Source organism: Homo sapiens, chromosome 16, assembly GCF_000001405.40.
Source record: "Homo sapiens chromosome 16, GRCh38.p14 Primary Assembly".
NCBI lineage: Eukaryota > Metazoa > Chordata > Mammalia > Primates > Hominidae > Homo > Homo sapiens.
Genome location: NC_000016.10, coordinates 10,321,294 through 10,340,655, shown reverse-complemented (window position 1 = coordinate 10,340,655; position 19,362 = coordinate 10,321,294). Strand labels below are relative to the sequence as shown.

The following is a 19,362-nucleotide window of genomic DNA, read 5'->3' as shown; positions in this document are numbered from 1 at the left end:
AGGTGAGCACCAGCCCAGTGGATTAACATCCAAAGGCTGAGCCCTGAGCAAAGACAGGGCTTGACTTTTATACATGCATCTGAAATGGGGTTGGCCGGTTTGATGGCGCGAAACCTGTAGAGCAGGCAAGCGAGCTTACAGAAGCAGAACAAAGGCAGTTTGTCAAACAGTGATAGGTTTTAGAACTCAAACTTATCTTGTGACCTTGCCGTGCTGCACAGAAGGGAAAAACAGGAACTTACAAAACTTGCAAAAATAATTATGAGAACAGAACAAGGAACAACGGTAAGGGGGAAGAATCTGAAGGGGGAAGCTGAAAGAAAAACTTGTTTTCTTCATCCCTGCTCTGGGATGGGAGGGAGAGGCTCTGGATCCCATCCCTTCTGGGCCCTGCCTCTGTAGATAGTGCTATCAAAGTCCCAACAGAGCCCTGCCCATTGCTGGGCCTTTGAGTGAGTCAGCCTAGTACAGGAAAACTTGTTTTTCTTTTTATGTCTTCTGCTTCAATACCACCTTAAAGTTAATTCTTAAAAAAGTAAGGTTCTCTACATGTAAGGTCCTCTGAATGGGCTACACCATGGTCAAGCCATTGTGACCCCTGTGACCCACACATACAGGCCTCCTGGAGTCACAAAGCCTGGAGCAACAAGAGAACCACTAAAGAAGAAGAAACAGCTAGTTCCTGCCTTAACTGATTAACCAAATTTGCAACATTCCACCATTGTCATATGTTCCTGCCCTACCCTAACTAATCAATCGACCTTGTGATACGGTGCCTTGTGACCTCCCCCTACCTCATGACTATGCATCTTATGACATTCTTCCCCTGCCCAAAAAAACTGCCCCTAAATGTAACTTTCCTCTTCCTACCCCAAACCTATAAAACCAGTTCCACTCCCACCACCCTTCATTGACTCCTTTCTCAGACTCAGCCGACTTGCACCCAAGTAAACAGCCTTGTTGCTCACACTAATCCTACTCAGGTGTTCCCTTATAAAGATGTGTGTAACACTATGCACTGCAGGTAAACACAAAGGAGGAGCACTTTGCACTTTTTTAGAAGATTTTTTTTTTTTTAAGAGACAAGGTCTCACTCTACCACCCAGGCTGGAGTATGATCATACCACACTGCAGCCTCAAACTCCTGGGCTCAAGCAATCCTCTCACTTCAGCCTCCTGAGTAGCTAGGACTACAGGTGTACAAAATTAGCCTAATTTTCACTTTTCATTTTTTGTAGAGACAGGCTCTCGCCATGTTCCCTAGGCTGGTGTCAAACTGCCAGCCTCAAGCAATCCTCCTACCTCAGCCTCCCTAAGTGCTGCAATTACAGTTATGAGCCACTGTGCCCAGTCCCATGCACTCTTTCAAGAGTGTAGGAAACTTCTTGGAAGGGATGGTATTGGAACTTCTACTTGAAGAATGAATAGGGCCGTATGGCAATTTAAAACCAGATCCTGAAATTCCATGGCCCTGCCCCCATCAAGATCTGTGACTGGTGATCTTTTTTTTTTTTTTTTTTTTTTTTGAGACGGACTCTCGGTCTGTCACCCAGGCTGGAGTACAGTGGTACAATCTCAGCTCATCGCAACCTCCGCCTCCCAGGTTCAAGCAATTCTCCTGCCTCAGCCTCCCGAGTATCTGGGACTACAGGTGCATGCCACCATGCCCAGCTAATTTTTGTATTTTTGGTAGAGATGGGGTTTCACCATGTTGGCCAGATGGTCTCGATTTCTTGACCTCGTGATCTGCCCACCTCGGCCTCCCAAAGTGTTGGGATTATAGGCGTGAGCCACCCCGCCAGGCCTGTGGATACTCATATTTAATGACTCAACCACTAGAATGAAGTAGAATTGATGCTGTGCTAGCTTCTGGGCCCACCTTTAGACAGGGGCAGCTTTTGCTTCTTGTCCCTTGGTCTAGGAACCCAGCCACCATGCTGTGAGGAAGCCCGTATAGCCTGCAGAGAGCTGGTGTGGAAAGGAACTGAACCCCTCCCTCCCAGACCTGGCTGGGTTCCCAGCTGACAGCCAGCCCTAGCTTGCTTATTATTTTAAGCTGAAGACATTTGAGATTCAACAGATGTGGAAAGAAGCCTTCTGGGAGCTGCCTTCATTTGACTAAAAGCAGCATCTTCTGGGAAATAAGGCTACCATAAACCCTCTCTCTTTGAGAGCATCATAGCCAAGAACAAGAAAGACACTTGCACCTGCATAAACAAACATTACCGCAGACTTTACTTCTCATTTTTTCTCCTAAAATCCTATTTATCTTTCCTAAAGAAACCTATTTGTTCTTCTCATAAGAGCCTTTTCTCTCCCCTCCCTTTTCCCTTAGGTGTATAAGCCTTTAACTCTAATCATTTAATGTACAAGCCACTTTTTTTTTTTTGAGACATTCTCACTCTGTCATCCAGACTGGAGTGCAGTGGCATGATCATGGCTCACTGCAGCCTCGACCTCCCAGGCTCAAGCAATCCTTTCACCCCTCAGCCTCCCCAGTAGTTGATGCAGGTGTATGCCACCACAGCCAGCTAATTTTTTTTTTTTTTGTAAAGATGGGGTCTCACCATATTGCCTGGGCTGGTCTCAAACTTCTGAGCTCAAGCAATTCCCCGCTTCAGCCTCCCAAATTTCTAGATTGTAGGCTTGAGCCACTGCACCTGGTCAGCAAGCTACTTCTTTTTTTTTTTTTTTTGACGGAATCTCACTCTGTTGCCTAGGCTGGAGTGCAGTGGCGTGATCCTGGCTCACTGCAACCTCTGCCTCCTGGGTTGCAGCAGTCTTCCTGCCACGGCCTCCCAAGTAGCTGGGATTACAGGTGTGTGCCACTACACCCAGCTAATTTTTGTATTTTTAGTGGAGATGGGGTTTCGCCATGTTGGCCAGGCTGGCCTTGAACTCCTGACCTCAGGTGATTCACCCACCTCAGCCTCCCAAATTGCTGGGATTACAGGCGTGAGCCACCGCGCCCGGCCTGCAAGCTACTTCTTTTGTTGGCTCCTGTATTGCATACATATAAGCCGTTTTTCTCGTGTTAATCTAGCTTTCTTCACCTTAATTCGCAGTCCGCCACACCCCCCACCACCCAAAAGAACCTAAAAGGGTAGAGGAAAAGTTTTTCCTCCTCCACACCATAAATAGTCACAAGTCAGGCTTTGCTACCAAATGAGTTCACTGGGGAAAAAAATCAATTTAGTTTTAAAACTATTTTGGATGTGAATTTTGGAAGTGCACTTAAGAGGAAGTGCACTTAAAGAACTTGGGTCAGGTGCAGTGGCTCACACCTGTAATCCCAGCCCTTTGGGAGGCTGAGGTGGGCGGATCACTTGAGGTCAGGAGTTTGAGACCAGCGTGGCCAATGCGGTGAAACCCCATCTCTACCAAAAATATAAAAAGTTAGCTGGGTGTGGTGGTGCATGCCTGTAATCCCAGCTACTGGGGAGGCCGAGGCAGGAGAATCACTGGGACCCAGGAGGCAGAGGTTGCAGTGAGCCTAGATCATGCCACTGCACTCTGGCCCAGATGACAGAACAAGACTCTGCCTCAAAAAAAAAAAAAAAAAGTGCTGGGCGCAGTGGCTCATGCTTGTAATCCCAGCACTTTGTGAGGCTGAGGCGGGCGGATCACGAGGTCAGGAGATCGAGACCACGGTGAAACCCTGTCTCTACTAAAAATACACACAAAAAAATAAGATTAGCCAGGCGTGGTGGAGGGCGCCTGTAGTCCCAGCTACTTGGAGAGGCTGAGGCAGGAGGATGGCGTGAACCCAGGAGGCGGAGGTTGCAGCGAGCCAAGATCGCGCCACTGCACTCCACCCTGGGTGACAGAGAGAGATGCCATCTCAAAAAAAAAAAAAAAAAAAAAAAAAGAATAGCAAGGGTGGAGGGTTGGCTGTGGGTGGGGAAGTTTTGAAAAATGTTACCGGAATATACTTACCCATTGCTACTGTGAATATATAAAGACGTATGGCATATAAGATCTTCTGGTGCCAGGCATGGTGGCTCACACTTCTAATCTCAGCACTTTGTGAGGTTAGCTTGAGCCCAGGAGTTTGAGACCAGCCTGAACAACATGGCAAAATCTTGTGTCTATGAAAACTACAAAAATTCGCAGGACCTGGTGGCGCTCACCTGTAGTCCCGGCTACTCAGGAGGCTAAGGTGGAAGAATCACTTGAGCCTGGGAGGTCAAGGCTGCAGGGAACCCTGATCATGCCACTGCACTGCAGCCTGGGAGACAAAGTGAGACCCTGTCTCAAAAAAAAAAAAAAAAAAAAAAAGATGTTCTTGCAGTTTTCTTATGATTTGCTCTACGGTGTGATTAATAACAGTTGCTGTTGCAATAATTCCTGCTATATTTTGACACAGTGCTGTGAAAAGAAATCCAACATGGAGGCCAGGCGTGGTGGCTCACGCCTGCAATCCCAGCACTTTGGGAGGCCGAGGTGGGCGGATCACCTGAGGTCGGGAGCTCGAGACCAGCCTGGCCAACATGGAGAAACCCTGTCTCTATTAAAAATACAAAATTAGCTGGGCATTGTGGCACATGCCTGTAATCCCAGCTACTAAGGAGGCTGAGGCAGGAGAATCGCTTGAACCTAGGAGGCGGAGGTTGCGGTGAGCCGAGATTGCGCCATTGCACTCCAGTCTGGGAAACGAGCAAAACTCCGTCTCAAAAAAAAAAAAAAAGAAAGAAAGCCAACGTGGAGATGATTTGTCGGAGGTCTCTGTCAAGGAGCCAGGAGGGCAAAAGTTGGCCCTCAGTCATATATGGATCCAGAGGGATCTGACCTGTTTGAACTGGGCCAGATCGCAAACGTTCTGGAGAAGCAGCTTCATTGGGTTTGAACTGCTCACACTGGGGCAGATCACGAACCTCCTGAAGACACAGCTGTGCTGAATTTTAAGCTGATCATGGCCTAGAGTCTTTCTAAGCTGTCAGCTGGCCTATAGGGGGAGGAAAAAACAAACAAATGAAAAAAACAAGAAGAAATGTTTTATTCAAGGAATACAGGCCCCTTTAAGCCATCAGGCCAAAGAGGCATTGAAATGAAACAGCAGTTAGGTTACTTCCCTTTGAATTAATAATCACCTTATTTTTTATTTTTTTTTTTCAGAGACAGGGTCCGCCTCTGTGGCCCAGGCTGGACTGCAGTGGCACCGTCACAGCTCACTGCAGCCTCCCCCTCCTGGGCTCAAGTGATCCTCCCATCTCAGCCTCCTGAGTAGCTGGGACTGCAAGCACACACCAGCATGCATGGCTAATTTTTAAATTTTTTGTAGAGACAGGGTCTCACTGTGTTGTCTAGGCTGGTCTCAAACTCTTAGGCCCAAGCAATCCTCTGGCTTTCACCCCTGAGTAGCTGGGGCTACAGGTGTGCACCACCATGTCCGGCTAAATTTTTAAAAAGTTTTCAGCAGAGATATAGTCGCCCTATGTTGCCCAGGCTGGTCTCACACTCCTGGGCTCAAGTCATCCTCCCACTTCAACCTCCCAAAGTGCTGGGATTACAGGCTTGAGTCACTGCACCCAGCCAAATAATAATCACCTCTTGAAGCCACTTGCTGTGTGGCTTCTACACTTAACTAAGGCCACGTACCCCTAAAATACCAAATGCCCTACAGTTCACCAATATATAGCCAATCACTAGCCAATGTTATTTCTGTAAACCCATGAGAATTCCTAACAATGTTTGTAATCACCCTCTCTCCTCATTGGTTATTTTTTCTTTAAAAACTTCAGCCTCTCTAATGTCCTCTGGAGCACGCCCCACAGCAAGTTGGAAGTGTGTCCTGGACTGCTGCCCTCAACCTTGACCCAAATAAACTTTATATTAATATTGTCTCAGCTTCTCCCTTTGAGGTTGACAGGTCATGTGTCAATCACAGACTGTGCTACTGTCTTCCGCTTAGGTAAACTTGCAGTAAACCTTTAGAAACCCCTGCCTAGAGTCTTGCCTGGCTGAAACACGTTTTAGCTACTTGCTAGATTTGTTTCTCCCAAATTGCAATGCATAAAAACCCTGATTAAAATGCCTTCCTGGGCCAGGTGCAGTGACTCACGCCTGTAATTCCAGCACTTTGGGAGGCCAAGGATGGTGGATCACCTGAGGTCAGGAATGCCAGACCAGCCTGGCCAACATGGGGAAACCCCATCTCTACAAAAATACAAAAATTAGCCGGGCATGATGGCGGATGCCTGTAGTCCCAGCTACTCAGGAGGCTGAGGTGGGAGAATCATTTGAATCTGGGAGGTGGAGATTGCATGGAGCTGAGATCACTCCACTGCACTCCAGCCTGGGTGACAGATCGAGACTCTGTCTCAAAAATAAAATGGGCGGGGCACGGTGGCTCACGCTTGTCATCCCAGCACTTTGGGAAGCCGACATGGGCAGATCACAGGGTCAGGAGTTCGAGACCAGCCTGGCCAACATGGTGAAGCCCCGTCTCCACTAAAAATACAAAATGAGCCGGGTGTGGTGGCGCATGTCTGTAATCCAAGCTACTCGGGAGGCTGAGGCAGGAGAATCACTTGAACCCCTGGAGGCAGAGCTTTCAGTAAGCTGAGATCGTGCCACTGGACTCTACCCTGGATGACAAAGCGAGACTCTGTGTCAAAAAAATAAAAATAAAATAAAATAAAAGTCCCTCCCTTTGTTTGTGGCTCCCCAGTGTTGGTTGATAGTGCATGGATGAAATGTATAATGCCTCCTGAGTTCTCCTGCCCTTCAGGAAGGTTTTTTACACATATAGTGGCCTCAGATGCATTTCTTGATTTGGAGTTGAGGGTGGAATCTTGGCAGAATTGACAGAAGAGGCACCAGTGGGACAGAGGAGGGACAAGGGGAGCAACCTTTTTTTTGTTTAATAATGAGGGGGGAGGCGATGGCCTTCTCCTCCTTCCTCCCAGGGTGTCTCCTTAAAAACATAACAGGCCCCACAAAAAGTTGAAGGAGTGAAGAACGTGCCAACCCAAAATATGCTAGATTGGCATATTGATTATTTCGAGTTGAAAACATTGATGAAATTGTGGTTGGTATGTTTGCTTGTTTTATTTATTTTGAGATAGAGTCTCATTTTGTTGCCCAGGCTGGAGTGCAATGGCGCAATCACAGCTCACTGCAGCCTTCACCTCCTGGGCCCAAGCATTTGTCCTACTTCAGCTTCCTGAGTAGCTGGGTCTGTAGGTGTGCATCACCACACCCACTCAAGAGGAAATATACACTTTTTTTTTTTTTTGAGACGGAGTCTCTCTCTGTGTCACCCAGGCTGGAGGGCAGTGGTGCGATCTCGGCTCACTGCAACCTCCGCCTCCCGGGTTCAAGCGATTCTCCTACCTTAGCCTCCCAAGCAGCTGGGACTACAGGTATGCGCCATCACGCCCAGCTAATTTTTGTATTTTTAGTAGAGACGGGGTTTCACCATGTTGGCCAGGATGATCTCGATCTCTTGACCTTGTGATCTGCCCACCTCAGCCTCCCAAAGTGCTGGAATTACAGGCATGAGCCACCCCATCCGGCCCACATTTTATTAGTTTTACATGTACATGGGGATCTTCACAAGAAACAAAAAAATGATTCTTTTTTTTAGATGGAATCTTGCTCTATTGCCCAGGCTGGAGCGTAGTGGCGTGATCTCAGCTCACTGCAACTTCCGCCTCCTAGATTCAAGCAGTTCTCCTGTCTGAGCCTCCTGAGTAGCTGGGATTACAGGCACACACCACTACGTCCAGCTAATTTTTGTGTTTTTAGTACAGAAGGGGTTTCATCATGTTGGCCAGGCTGGTCTTGAAGTCCTGAGCCCAAGTGATGTGCCTGCCTTGGCCTCCCATAGTGCTGGGATTACAGGTGTCAGTCACCGTGCTCGGGCCCAAGAATGTGATTCTTCACGAGCAGGAAGATTGGTTGGGCCCAAGAGTTTGAGACCAGCTAGGCAACATAGCAAGACCCTATCTCTATAAAAAGAAAAGTGAAATAATTATCTGGGCTTGGTGGAGCATGCCTGTAATCACAGCTACTTGAGTGGCTGAGGCAAGAGGATGGTTTGAGCCCAGGAGTTTGAGGCTGTAGTGAGCTATGATCATGCCACTGCACTCCAGCCTGGTGACAGAGCAAGAGCAAGACCTTGCTCTAAAAAAAAAAATTAAAAAGGGCTAACTGACCTCTCTCTTTGTGCATGCAGCAGGCCATAAAAATTCCTCTGGGAGGAGGGCTGTCACATACCAGGGTGAGAAAATAGCCCTTATCACCAGAGACTGGGAATTGGGGACTGTGATGGACCTGAATAAACATACTTAATGAAACAATCTTTATCTTCCACTGTTTGACACCCCCATATATCTCCTAGCAACTCCCCTAGAAAATTTATTGCCCTAGCCAGGTTTTCCTGTCATTTCTTCTCAAATGTAATCTAAATAGTGTACAAATAGTATACAAGCATCTATCTTTAGCCACTTGTTTGAACTTCACGCTATTATGAAGACCCCCATGTACAGGTAAAACTAATAAAATGTATATACTTTTGTTAATCTGCATGGTGTCAATTTGGTGTCTAGATCCAGCCAAAGAGCCCACATAGGAGCTAAAGGGGAGCTGGAGGTGACCACTGGCTCCTTTACAAGGTCCAGCCTTTTGATTTCATAGCACAAAATCATGGGCTTTCTGAGGCCAGGCACAGTGGCTCATGCCTGTAATCCCAGCACTTTGGGAGGCTGAGGAGACCGGTGATCATAAGGTCAGGAGTTTGAGACCAGCCTGACCAACATGGTGAAACCCTGTCTCTATTAAAAATACAAAAATTAGCTGGGCATGGTGGCACGCACCTGTAATCTCAGCTACTCAGGAGGCTGAGGCAGGAGAATCGCTTGAACCCGGGAGGTGGAGGTTGCAGTGAGCCGAGATCACACCACTGCCCTCCAGCCTGGGCGACACAGAGCGAGACTCCGTCTCAAAAAAAAAAAAAAAAATTATGGGCTTTCTGATCCTTGGAACTGTAAACACGCACCTCCAAGGCTGACATAGAAGGAGGAGTACAGGAGGCAATCCAGAGATAAGATTTTCTTTTAAATTTTTATTTTTTTGGAGACAAGTCTCACTCTGTTGCCCAGGCTGTAGTGCAGTCATTCCATCATAGCTTACTGCAGCCTCAGGCTCCTGGGCTCAAGTGCTCCTTCTGCCTCAGCTTCCTGAGTAGCTGGGTTATAGACGCGCACAACAAGCCTAGCTAATTTATTGTTTACTTTTTGTAGAGACGGGGTGTTGCTCTGTTGTCCAGGCTGGTCTTGAACTCCTGGGTTCAAGTGATACTCTCGCCTCAGTCTCCTAAAGTTCTGGGAGTACAGGAGTGAGCCACTGCACCTGACCCAATAAGAGATGCTTCAATTATTCTCTCTTCTACTTTTCTGTAAATTCTGTTCAGATTTTGTCCAGACTATCAGAAAAAAAAGAAAGAAAGAAAGAAAAGAAAGAAAGAAAAAAAAAGGAATCAACAGGTCAGAGGCAAATAAGCATTTATTCAGGAATGGGGGTTGCAACCAGGCCCCAGAGACCACCACCCAAGAGGGACAAGAAAGGCTTATAGGAAATTTTTCAGATGACATAAATTACCAGATTATTTTATTGATGGATTAAGCAAAGAAGTTGTTAGTCATTAGTGGAAGGGTACATTTGGGTCAGTTAGGAAAAAACTACACAGACTGTCCCTAAAGATTAGGACCAGATTCCTTGTATTGTATATTGTCGAGAGCATGGTTGTTTGTGAGAGAACTGTTTTTCACAGTTCTTTGTGGGTCTCAAAGTCCACCACCCAATCTAGGCACAGTGGCTCACACCTAAAATCCTAGTACTTTGGGAGGCTGAGGCAGGCAGATTAGCCCAGGAGTTCAAGACCAGCCTGGGCAACATGGTGAAACTCTGTCTCTACAAAAAATACAAAAATATTAGCTGGGTGTGGTGGTGCACACCTGTCGTTCCAGCTACTCAGGAGTTTGAGACAGGAGGATTGCATAAGCCTGGGAGGTTGAGGCTGCAGTGAGCCACTGAGCCATAGTCGTGCCACTGCACTCCAGCGTGGGAGACAGAGACTCTGTCTCAAAAAAAAAAAAAAAAAAAAAGTTCATCATTAGTTCAGTCTGGGGTCAGTAGCCCAAGATAGAGTCCCCGATGTCAAGCGTAGAACAATGCTCTATTCAAACACTCAAATGACCTGTGACAGAGATTCTCTTCTTCACCAAACTCTACTCAGGTTCTCCTAAACTCTTTGTCCAGTAGGTTTCAACTTTTGGAGTTCCGTGTTGATAAAAAAAAAAAATTTCAGGCCGGGCGTGGTGGCTCACACCTGTAATCCCAGTACTTTGGGAAGTTGAGGCAGGTGGATCACCTGAAGTCAGGAGTTCGAGACCAGCCTGGCCAACATGGTGAAATCCCATCTGTACAGAAAATAAAAAAAATTAGCTGGGCATGGTGGTGGGTGCCTGTAATCCCAGCTACTTGGGAGGCTGAGGCAGGAGAATTGCTTGAACCCGCAAGACGGAGGTTGCAGTGAGGCGAGATTGCACCAGTGCACTCCAGCCTGGGCGACAGAGCAAAACTCTGTCTCAAAAAAAAAAAAAAGAAAAGAAAAGAAAAGAAAAGAAAAGAAATGGAGAAGTAGAGCACATGCTCAAAGCACCTTCTCCCTGAGGGTATGGTGAAGGGGGGTTTTTAAGGTCTCTTAGAACATGTAGGTGGAGACTGGGGGGTGGTGATTTATGGAAAAAGGTGGGACCTTCCAGGGAGAACTGGAGCATGCACAGTCTCCTTCTTTCTTTTCCACTGGCACTATATATGCCTAGCAAAGCACATTTCTCCCCATCCCAGGTGAATATTTTCATACAGCGAAAAAGCAAGGATTCAGGTCCGGGTAGCAGGATGGTAGTGTTTACTATACAGACTCAGACTTGGGAGCCACAGTTCTTATCCTGTGGCTCGTTTGTGGTTACTGACATCCGGCCTTCATTTCTGTAAGCAAGCACATCTGCAAGCACAGGTTAATGTCACAAGTTCTGGGGCTTTTTTTTTTTTTTTTTTTTTTATTCTTTGAACGGAGTTCCACTCTGTCGCCCAGGTTGGAGTGCAATGGTGCAATCTCGGTTCACTGCAACCTCCACCTCCCAGGTTCAAGCGATTCTCCTGCCTCAGCCTCCCGAGTAGCTGGGATTACAGGCATGCACCACCATGCCTGGCTAATTTTGTATTTTTAGTAGAGATGGGGTTTCTCCATGTTGGTCAGGCTGGTCTCAAACTCCAGGCCTCAGGTTATCTGCCCAGCTTGGCCTCCGAAAGTGCTGGGATTACAGGCGTGAGCCACCATGCCCGGCCTATTTTTATTATTTTCTTTTTGAGATAAGAGTCTTGCAGCCGGGCGCAGTGGCTCATGCCTGTAATCCCAGCACTTTGGGAGGCCGAGGCAGGAGGATCACGAGGTCAGGAGATCGAGATCATCCTGGCTAACGTGGTGAAACCCCGTTTCTACTAAAAAAATTAGCTGGGCGTGGTGGTGGGCACCTGTAGTCCCAGCTACTCGGGAGGCTGAGGCAGGAGAATGGCATGAACCCGGGAGGTGGAGCCGAGATGGGGCCACTGCACTCCAGCTTGGGCAACAGAGTGAGACTCTGTCTCAAAAAAAAAAAAAAAAAAAGAATCTTGCTCTGTCACCCAAGCTGGATTGCAGTGGTGCTATCTCAGCTCCCTGCAATCTCTGCCTCCCAGATTCAAGCGATTCCCCTGCCTCAGCCTCCCGAGTAACCAGGAGTACAGGTGTTTACCACCATGCCCAGCTAATTTTTGTATTTTCAGTAGAGACGGGGTTTCGCCATGTTGGCCAGGCTGGTCTGGAACTCCTGACCTCAGGTGATCTGCCCACCTCAGCCTCCCAAAGTGCTGGGATTACAGGTGTGAGCCACCATGCCAGGCCTATTATCTTTAAACCAAAATTAGGGATGCCTTTGCTCTCCAGATATCGGGATATCTGGACACTCCCAAGTCTGAGTCTGTTCGGTAAACACTATCAATCTGTTCCCTTAACTGTAAACATCTAGAGGCTAGGAATACCTTTCTGGGAATGCAGCCCCGTAAGTCCCAGCCTCATTTTCCTAGCCCTCACTCAAGATGGAGGCATGCTGGTTTTAAGGCCTCTGACAAAAGCAGTGGTTAGAATCTGGGCTCTAGGCCAGGTTGAAGCTGCAGTGAGTCATGATTGCACCACTGCACTCTACCCTGGGTGACAGAATGAGACCCTGTCTCAAAAAAATAATAATAGGCCGGGCATGGTGGCTCATGCCTGTAATCCTAGCACTTTGGGAGGCCGAGGAGGGTGGATCACCTGAGGTCAGGAGTTTGAGACCAGCCTGGCCAACATGGTGAAACCCCGTCTCTACTACAAATACAAAAATTAGCAGGGCCTAGTGGCGGGCGCCTGTAATCCCAGCTACTCGGGAGGCTGAGGCAAGAGAATCGCTTGAACTCAGGAGGCAGAGGTTGCAAAAAGCTGAGATCACACCATTGCACTCCAGCCTGGGAAACAAGAGTGAAACTTCATCTCAAAAATATAATAATAATAATAATAACTAATACATAAAAATTGGGGGCTCTATAATACCTAACTTAGCAGAGGACAGGTGGGAGGGGGCAGTGAAAGGGCATTTATGGAAAAGCAAATGACTTTTTGGAAGGATGAATGGGCCCTTATGAGAACAGATAGGAGATATGATGGTCTTGTGACAATGAGTGCTTGGGTGTGCTGGCGACTCCTCTCTGAGAAGAGTAGAATTGTTCCTGGGAAGGGGATTTATGACAATTGAGTTTCTTTGACTTATTTTAGGGGTTTTAGAAAATGAAATGCCTTCAGCTCAAAATAATTCTTATGTCAAAGTGGCATATTTTAGGGTAGCATGTCCTGATGCTCTTCACTTGGAATACAGGCAAAGAAGAATATGTGGGTTCTGGCTGGGCATGGTGGTTCACACCTACAATCCTAGCACTTTGGGAGGGCAAGGCAGGAGGATCCTTAAGCCCAGGAATTTGAGACTACCCTGGGCAACACAGCAAGGCGTTGTCTACAAAAAAATTAAAAATTAGCTGGGTGGCCGGGTGTGGTGGCTCATGCCTGTAATCCCAGCACGTTGGGAGGCTGAAGCAGGTGGATCACTCGAGGTCAGGAGTTTGAGACCAGCCTGGCCTACATGGTGAAACCCTGTCCCTCCTAAAAATAAAAAAATCAGCTGGGTGAGGTGGTGCACGCCTGTAGTCCCAGCTACTTGGGAGGCTGAGGCAGGAGAACCACTTGAACGCGGGAGGCAGAGGCTGCAGTGAGCCAATATTGCACCACTGCACTCTAGCCTGAGTGACAGAGTGAAATTCTATCTCAAAAAATAAAAATAAAGATAAAAAAAATTAGCTGGGTGTGGTGGCACATGCCTGTAGTTTCAGCTACTTGGGAGGCTGAGACGGGAGGATCGATTGAGCCCAGGAGTTGGAGGCTGCAGTGAGCTATAATCATGCAACTGCACTCCAGCCTGGGTGACAGAGCGAGACCCTGTTTCAAAACAAAACAAAGAATATGTGAGTTTCACCTTGAGAGGCCTTGAAGGTTACTCCTGTTGGTTCTCAGAACATGATACTCCGATATGTGGCATCTTGGCAACTGAAATAGCCTCAGAAGCAAGAAAGCGGCTCTGACCCTCCCCTACCTTTCAGTGTGAGAGCCGGCCATAAAGGAATTCTCTGGCTGATTGCAAGTGCCTTTGCAAAAATTATAACTGAGAAAATTATAACAGTGAAAGAGATCTGACCCAACCGACTCCATCTTGGTTCTCTCCTCCAAGCTGTCCTTGTTCATTCCTGGGCATAGGCTAAACTATGGGAGAAACTTAATTTATAGTTTAACTTAGAAACAAAGATGATAACAGCCTTTTCCCAAAACAAACCCCCTTCCGGCCTGGGGACTAGACTGCCTTTGCAGGACCAACAAACTAGCCACAAGATTAGAAATTATGGTTTAGGGGTCATGTAGCTAGAGGGTGCAAGATTCTGAACCTCTCCAAATTGCTCCTGGGGGTAACATCACTATCATAAAACGTAAGATCAGTGTTTGATATATTTTGCAGACCTTGTACCTGATGGATCAGCTGGTACCACCCAGATCGATAGACTGGCTCATCTGGTCTAGTGGCCCCTACCCAGTAACTGACTCAGCGCAAAAGGACAGCTTCCACTCCCTATGACTTCATCTCTGACCTAACCAATCAGCACTCTCCACCTTCCAAATGTCCACCCATCCAATTATCCTTAAAAACCCCAATCCCTGAGTTTCTGGGCAGCCTGATTTGAGTAATATTAAAACTCTGGTCTCTCGTACAGCTGGCTCAGTGTGAATTAAACTCTTTCTTTATTGCAATTCCCCTGTCTTAATGCATCAGTTTAAATTGGCTCTGTCGAGGCAGTGGGCAAGGAGAATCTGTTACACAGTTACATTACCTTGCCTGAAAGTAGGACCTAAGATCCTCATTCTGTCAGAGGCACTTGAACCAGAGCAACTCCATCTTAAATAGGAACTGGGTAAAATGAGGCTGAGACTTACTGGGCGGCTTTTGCAGGAGGCTAAGGCATTCTTAGTCACAGGATGAGATAGGAGGTTGGCACCAGATACAGGTCATAAAGACCTTGCTGATAAAATAGCTTCCAGTAAAGAAGCTGGCTAAAACCCAAAACCGAGATGGCGATGAGAGTGACCTCTGGGTGTCCTCATCGCTATGCTCCCACCGGCACCATGACAGTTTACAAATGCCATGGCAACGTCAGGAAGTTACCCTATATGGTCTAAAAAGAGGAAGCATGAATAATCCACCCCTTGTTTAGCATATCATCAAGAAATAACCACAAAAATGGGCAACCAGCAGCCCTTGGGGCTGCTCTGCTTATGGAATAATAGCTATTCTTTTATTTATTTTTTTTATTTTTTGAGATGGAGTCTCACTCTGTCGCCTAGGCTGGAATACAATGGCGTGATCTCGGCTCACCACAACCTCCGCCTCCTGGGTTCAAGTGATTCTCCTGCCTCAGCCTCCTGAGTAGCTGGGATTACAGGCACCCAGAGCCACACCTGGCTAATTTTTGTATTTTTAGTAGAGACGGGGTTTCTCCATGTGGGTCAGGCTGGTCTCCAACTCCCAGCCTCAGGTGATCCACCTGCCTTAGCCTCCCAAAGTGCTGGGATTACAGGCATGAACCACCATGCCTGGACCATTTGTTTATTTTTTTAAATTTTCCAGTAAACTTGCTTTCACTTTACTCTATGGACTCGCCCTAAATTCTTTCTTGAGTGAAATCCAAGAACCCTCTCTTGGGGTCTGGAAAGGAACCCCTTTCTGGTGACAATTCCAGAGAGATCCTGCTCTATGCCCAGAGGCCCTGCACCACCCCCAGTTTATTAACAGTAGATCATACTCTTCTTGTCAAATCATCTTTGTACACAACTGTTCATTTTCCAGTGAATCTCAGCATAAAAATACAGTTTCCTCTGGGTCTTTGTTTCTGAAGGCTCTCGTGTCATGCAAAATTTTGTTAAATTCATTTGTTATGTTTTTCTCTTATTAATCTGTCTTTTGTTGTAGGAGTGTTGGCAATGACCCTTGTAATGGGTGAGGATAACTTATTACCTTTTCACTCCTACGGTAGTTAATTATCCTCTAAATGAAGTTGAGGTACAAGGAGAGGATTAAGTGACCACTGATTGAGAAGAAGTGGCTGCATGTATGGCAGATTGACCTACACCCACCATTCCCTCCATAAAATCTCCTGGCTAAGCATGGTATACTGAATGCCACAGCTAGTAGCCCTCTGTACCCCTCAATGTTCTCATTTATAAAAGAGAATAACACTTTTATATCCAGCTAACTTCTGTATTTTTAGTGGAGATGGGGTTTCACCATGTTGGCCAGGCTGTTCTCAAACCACTGACCTCAAATGATCCACCCGCCTCGACCTCCTTAAGTGCTGAGATTACAGGCATGAGCCACTGTGGTTGGCTAGAGTAGTTGTCTTAAGGATTGACAAAGAGCCTCCCCTTGACCAAGCTTTAGGGAGATTCATCGAAATCCTCTTCCCAGTTAGGTCTCAACTCTTGGACTTCCATGGTGTTTTTTTTTTTTTTGTATCGCCCAATTTTAGCAAGAATCCTGCTAAGTCAGTTTAGCCAGAATCCTCAACCCTGGATATCTGATCACATTCCAGATCACCCTGGCTTACCTGCAGCAAGAGTCCTGTTAGGTCCATTTAGCCAGAATCCTCTTCTCTTACCACTAATGTTTCCTTTAGCTAATTTTCCACTCATGGATCCCTACCCTGTTTCTGGGCTATAAATTTCCACTTGTCTTTGTTGTATTTGCAATTCAGCCTATTTTTTTTTTCTTTTCTTTCTTTTTCTTTTCTTTCTTTTTTTTGAGATGGAGTTTCATTCTTGTTGCCAGGCTGGAGTGCAAATGGCACGATCTTGGCTCATTGCAAGCTCCACCTCCTGGGTTCAAGCAATTCTTCTGCCTCAGCCTCCCAAGTAGCTGGGATTACAGGCACACACCACCATGCCTGGCTAATTTTTGTATTTTTAGTAGAGACGGGATTTCACCATGTTGGCTAGGCTGGTCTCGAACTCCTGACTTCAGGTGATCCTCTTGCCTCAGCCTTCCGAATTGCTGGGATTACAGGCATGAGCCACCTCGCCTGGCTGAGCTGGGGTTTTTTTTTTTTTTTTTTTTTTTGGCTAGTGTATTTATTTTCATTTTAACATCTTTCTATAGACTTTGCTTTTGAAATGGCCACTACTGAATTCCTATGCACAGGCCAATATTTTTGTCTGATCATAGGGAGTTTCCACAGAAACTTTCCGAAACTGGGTATTGATAATGGTCATAACTGTAGATTTTTGTTAGTTCTGGTTTCTCTGTGCAAATATACCTGCAGGTAAAAAAAGATGGGTGGACCAGGGGAAGAGCTTTAGGGAGGAGAGAAAAAAATCTGTGACCCTGCCAACCAAAAAGTGAAATTACAAGTGCTAGCACTTAGAGAAATCACGGTTAGATTTACTCTGAGTCAAGTTGGAGGACTGAAGCCTGGGAACACATACTCAATATAGACCAAGAATCTGTCCCAATGTAGGTTGTGCAAGGCACAGTATATACACATTTTCAAACAGGAGGATGTGTGTGGCACAGAAGGTAGGAGAAGAGGGGAGAGAAGCAAGGGTTACATTTTTGTGATTCTCATTGGTGCTCCGTGACTGTATACATAAGATAAGGTAAAAGAGCAGTTGAGCGGGTCAGGAGAAAGGTTAGGCATCTTAGGGCCTGGTGGAGGGTGGCTGATTCCAGCCTGTCTTTGTTCTACCTCAGATAAACAAGTTTATACCCAGTACCTGTCAGTGAAATGTTTAACAAGCTCCAGTTACACAGGCACACAGGCAAGAGGTCAGCTTTAGTTTATAGGCATAGGGTTTTTTTTGTTGTTGTTGTTTTGTGACGGAGTCTCGCTTGGTTGCCCAGGCTGCAATGCAGTGGCATGATCTCGGCTTACTGCAACCTCCTTCTCCCAGGTTCAGGCAATTCTCCTGCTTCAGCTGTTGCAGTAGCTGGGATTACAGGCACCCATTACCTCACCCAGCTAATTTTTCTATTTTTCAGTAGAGACGGGGTTTCACCATGTTGGGCACGTTGGTCTTGAACTCCTGACCTCAAGTGATGCACCCACCTTGGCCTCCCAAAGTGCTGGGATGACAGGCATGAGCCACTGCACCCGGCCATATAGTCATAGGTTTATAAACCATGTGCCTAACTGTAGCTATTGTGGGTCACTGTTAACAGTTTCTTTTGAATTTTCCTTTTTCTGACAACCCCATGACCCATAAAAACACGAAAAGGAATACGGATTTTTTTTTTTTTTTAAAGACAGAGTCGGCTGGGAGTGGTGGCTTATGCCTATAATCCCAGCACTTTGGGAGGCCGAGGCGGGTGGACCACTTGAGGTCAGGAGTTTGAGACCAGCCTGGCCAACATGGCGAAAACCCATGTCTACTAAAAATACAAAAATTAGCTCGGTGTGGTAGTGCGTGCCTATAGTCCCAGCTACTTGGGAGGCTGAGGCAGGAGAATTGCTTGAACCTGGGAGGCGGAGGTTGCAGTCAGCTGAGATCAGGCCATTGCGTTCTGGTGACAGAGTGAGACTCCATCTCAGAAAAAAAAAAGAAAGTCCTTGCCTTTCCATGTGACCCCTGCTTTCGAAGCCTTATTAGAAGGGGTGCCCAACTTTATATCTTCTTGGTTCCCCCTTCTTTCAAGTTTCTTTCCTTAAAGCTGCTGAGAATGTAGCTCATTTATGTAGGGGCCAGCTGCTGTGCACAGGGTAAAATGGATAAAAAGCATGCCTCTGAGGATAACAAATGTGGTTGGCCTTGGTGAGATGGGAGTGGAGCAGATAAAGGCCCTTGGAAAAAAGAATAAGGAGCTGAAAAATGTCACATGTCTCTGGGAAAGGGAGAAATCATTATAGAACAAGAGAAGTAAACACTTAGAGCCTGGCTTAAAAGAGAAAACAACCAAGACGCCAGCCCTTGGGCAGAGAGAAGAGGACGTTGGAGGGGGGGGGCAGGTATGGTTCAAGGAAGAGCAACTGAGAGAGGAAGGAATGGGGGCTGGGGGTATGTAAGCCATGTCTGCAGCTGCTTCTTAGACCTACATAGCAAGGGCATGTCTTTACTCCCATCAGTTGGGAAACAGATGTAAAAGCCTTCCAAATTAATAACAAAGCTAAGGCTGAGCGTAGTGGCTCAGTCTTGCAATCCCAGAACTTTGGGAGGCCAAGGTGGGAGGATCACTTGGGGCCAGGAATTTGAGACCAGCCTAGGCAACATAGTGAGACCCTGTCTCTACAAAAAATGAACAAAATTAGCCAGGCATGATGGTGCGTTGCCTACAGTCCCAGCTACTCAGGAGGCTAAGGTGAGAGGATCACTTGAGCCCAGGAGGGTGAGGCTGCACTTAGTCAAGCTCATGCCACTCTGCACTCCAGCCTGGGCAATAGAGCGAGACCCTGTCTCAAATATACATACATACATATATATATATATATATATATAAAAATATAAAAATATATATATAAAAATATATAAAAATATATATATAAATATATATAAAATATATAAAAATATATGTAAATATATATGTAAATATATGTAAATATATATAAATATATGTAAATATATAAAAATATATGTAAATATATGTAAATATATATAAATATATGTAAATAAATATATGTAAATATATATAAATATATATA

At 46.2% G+C, this 19,362-nt stretch overlaps 3 annotated features.

Annotated features, from left to right (window-relative positions):
* Positions 8,897 to 9,097: a silencer, noted in NCBI's record as "peak2499 fragment used in MPRA reporter construct". NCBI's record gives its function as "represses an SCP1 promoter by STARR-seq MPRAs in K562 erythroleukemia cells {active_cell/tissue: K562}" and the evidence as "EXISTENCE:reporter gene assay evidence [ECO:0000049][PMID:32103011]".
* Positions 10,810 to 11,104: a silencer, noted in NCBI's record as "tiled region #5183; HepG2 Repressive DNase unmatched - State 5:Enh". NCBI's record gives its function as "represses a minimal TATA promoter and a strong SV40 promoter by Sharpr-MPRA in HepG2 cells {active_cell/tissue: HepG2}" and the evidence as "EXISTENCE:reporter gene assay evidence [ECO:0000049][PMID:27701403]".
* Positions 17,193 to 17,514: a transcriptional cis regulatory region, noted in NCBI's record as "candidate enhancer chr16.1137 targeted for multiplex CRISPR interference". NCBI's record gives its function as "positively regulates ATF7IP2 gene expression in K562 cells {active_cell/tissue: K562}" and the evidence as "EXISTENCE:mutant phenotype evidence [ECO:0000015][PMID:30612741]".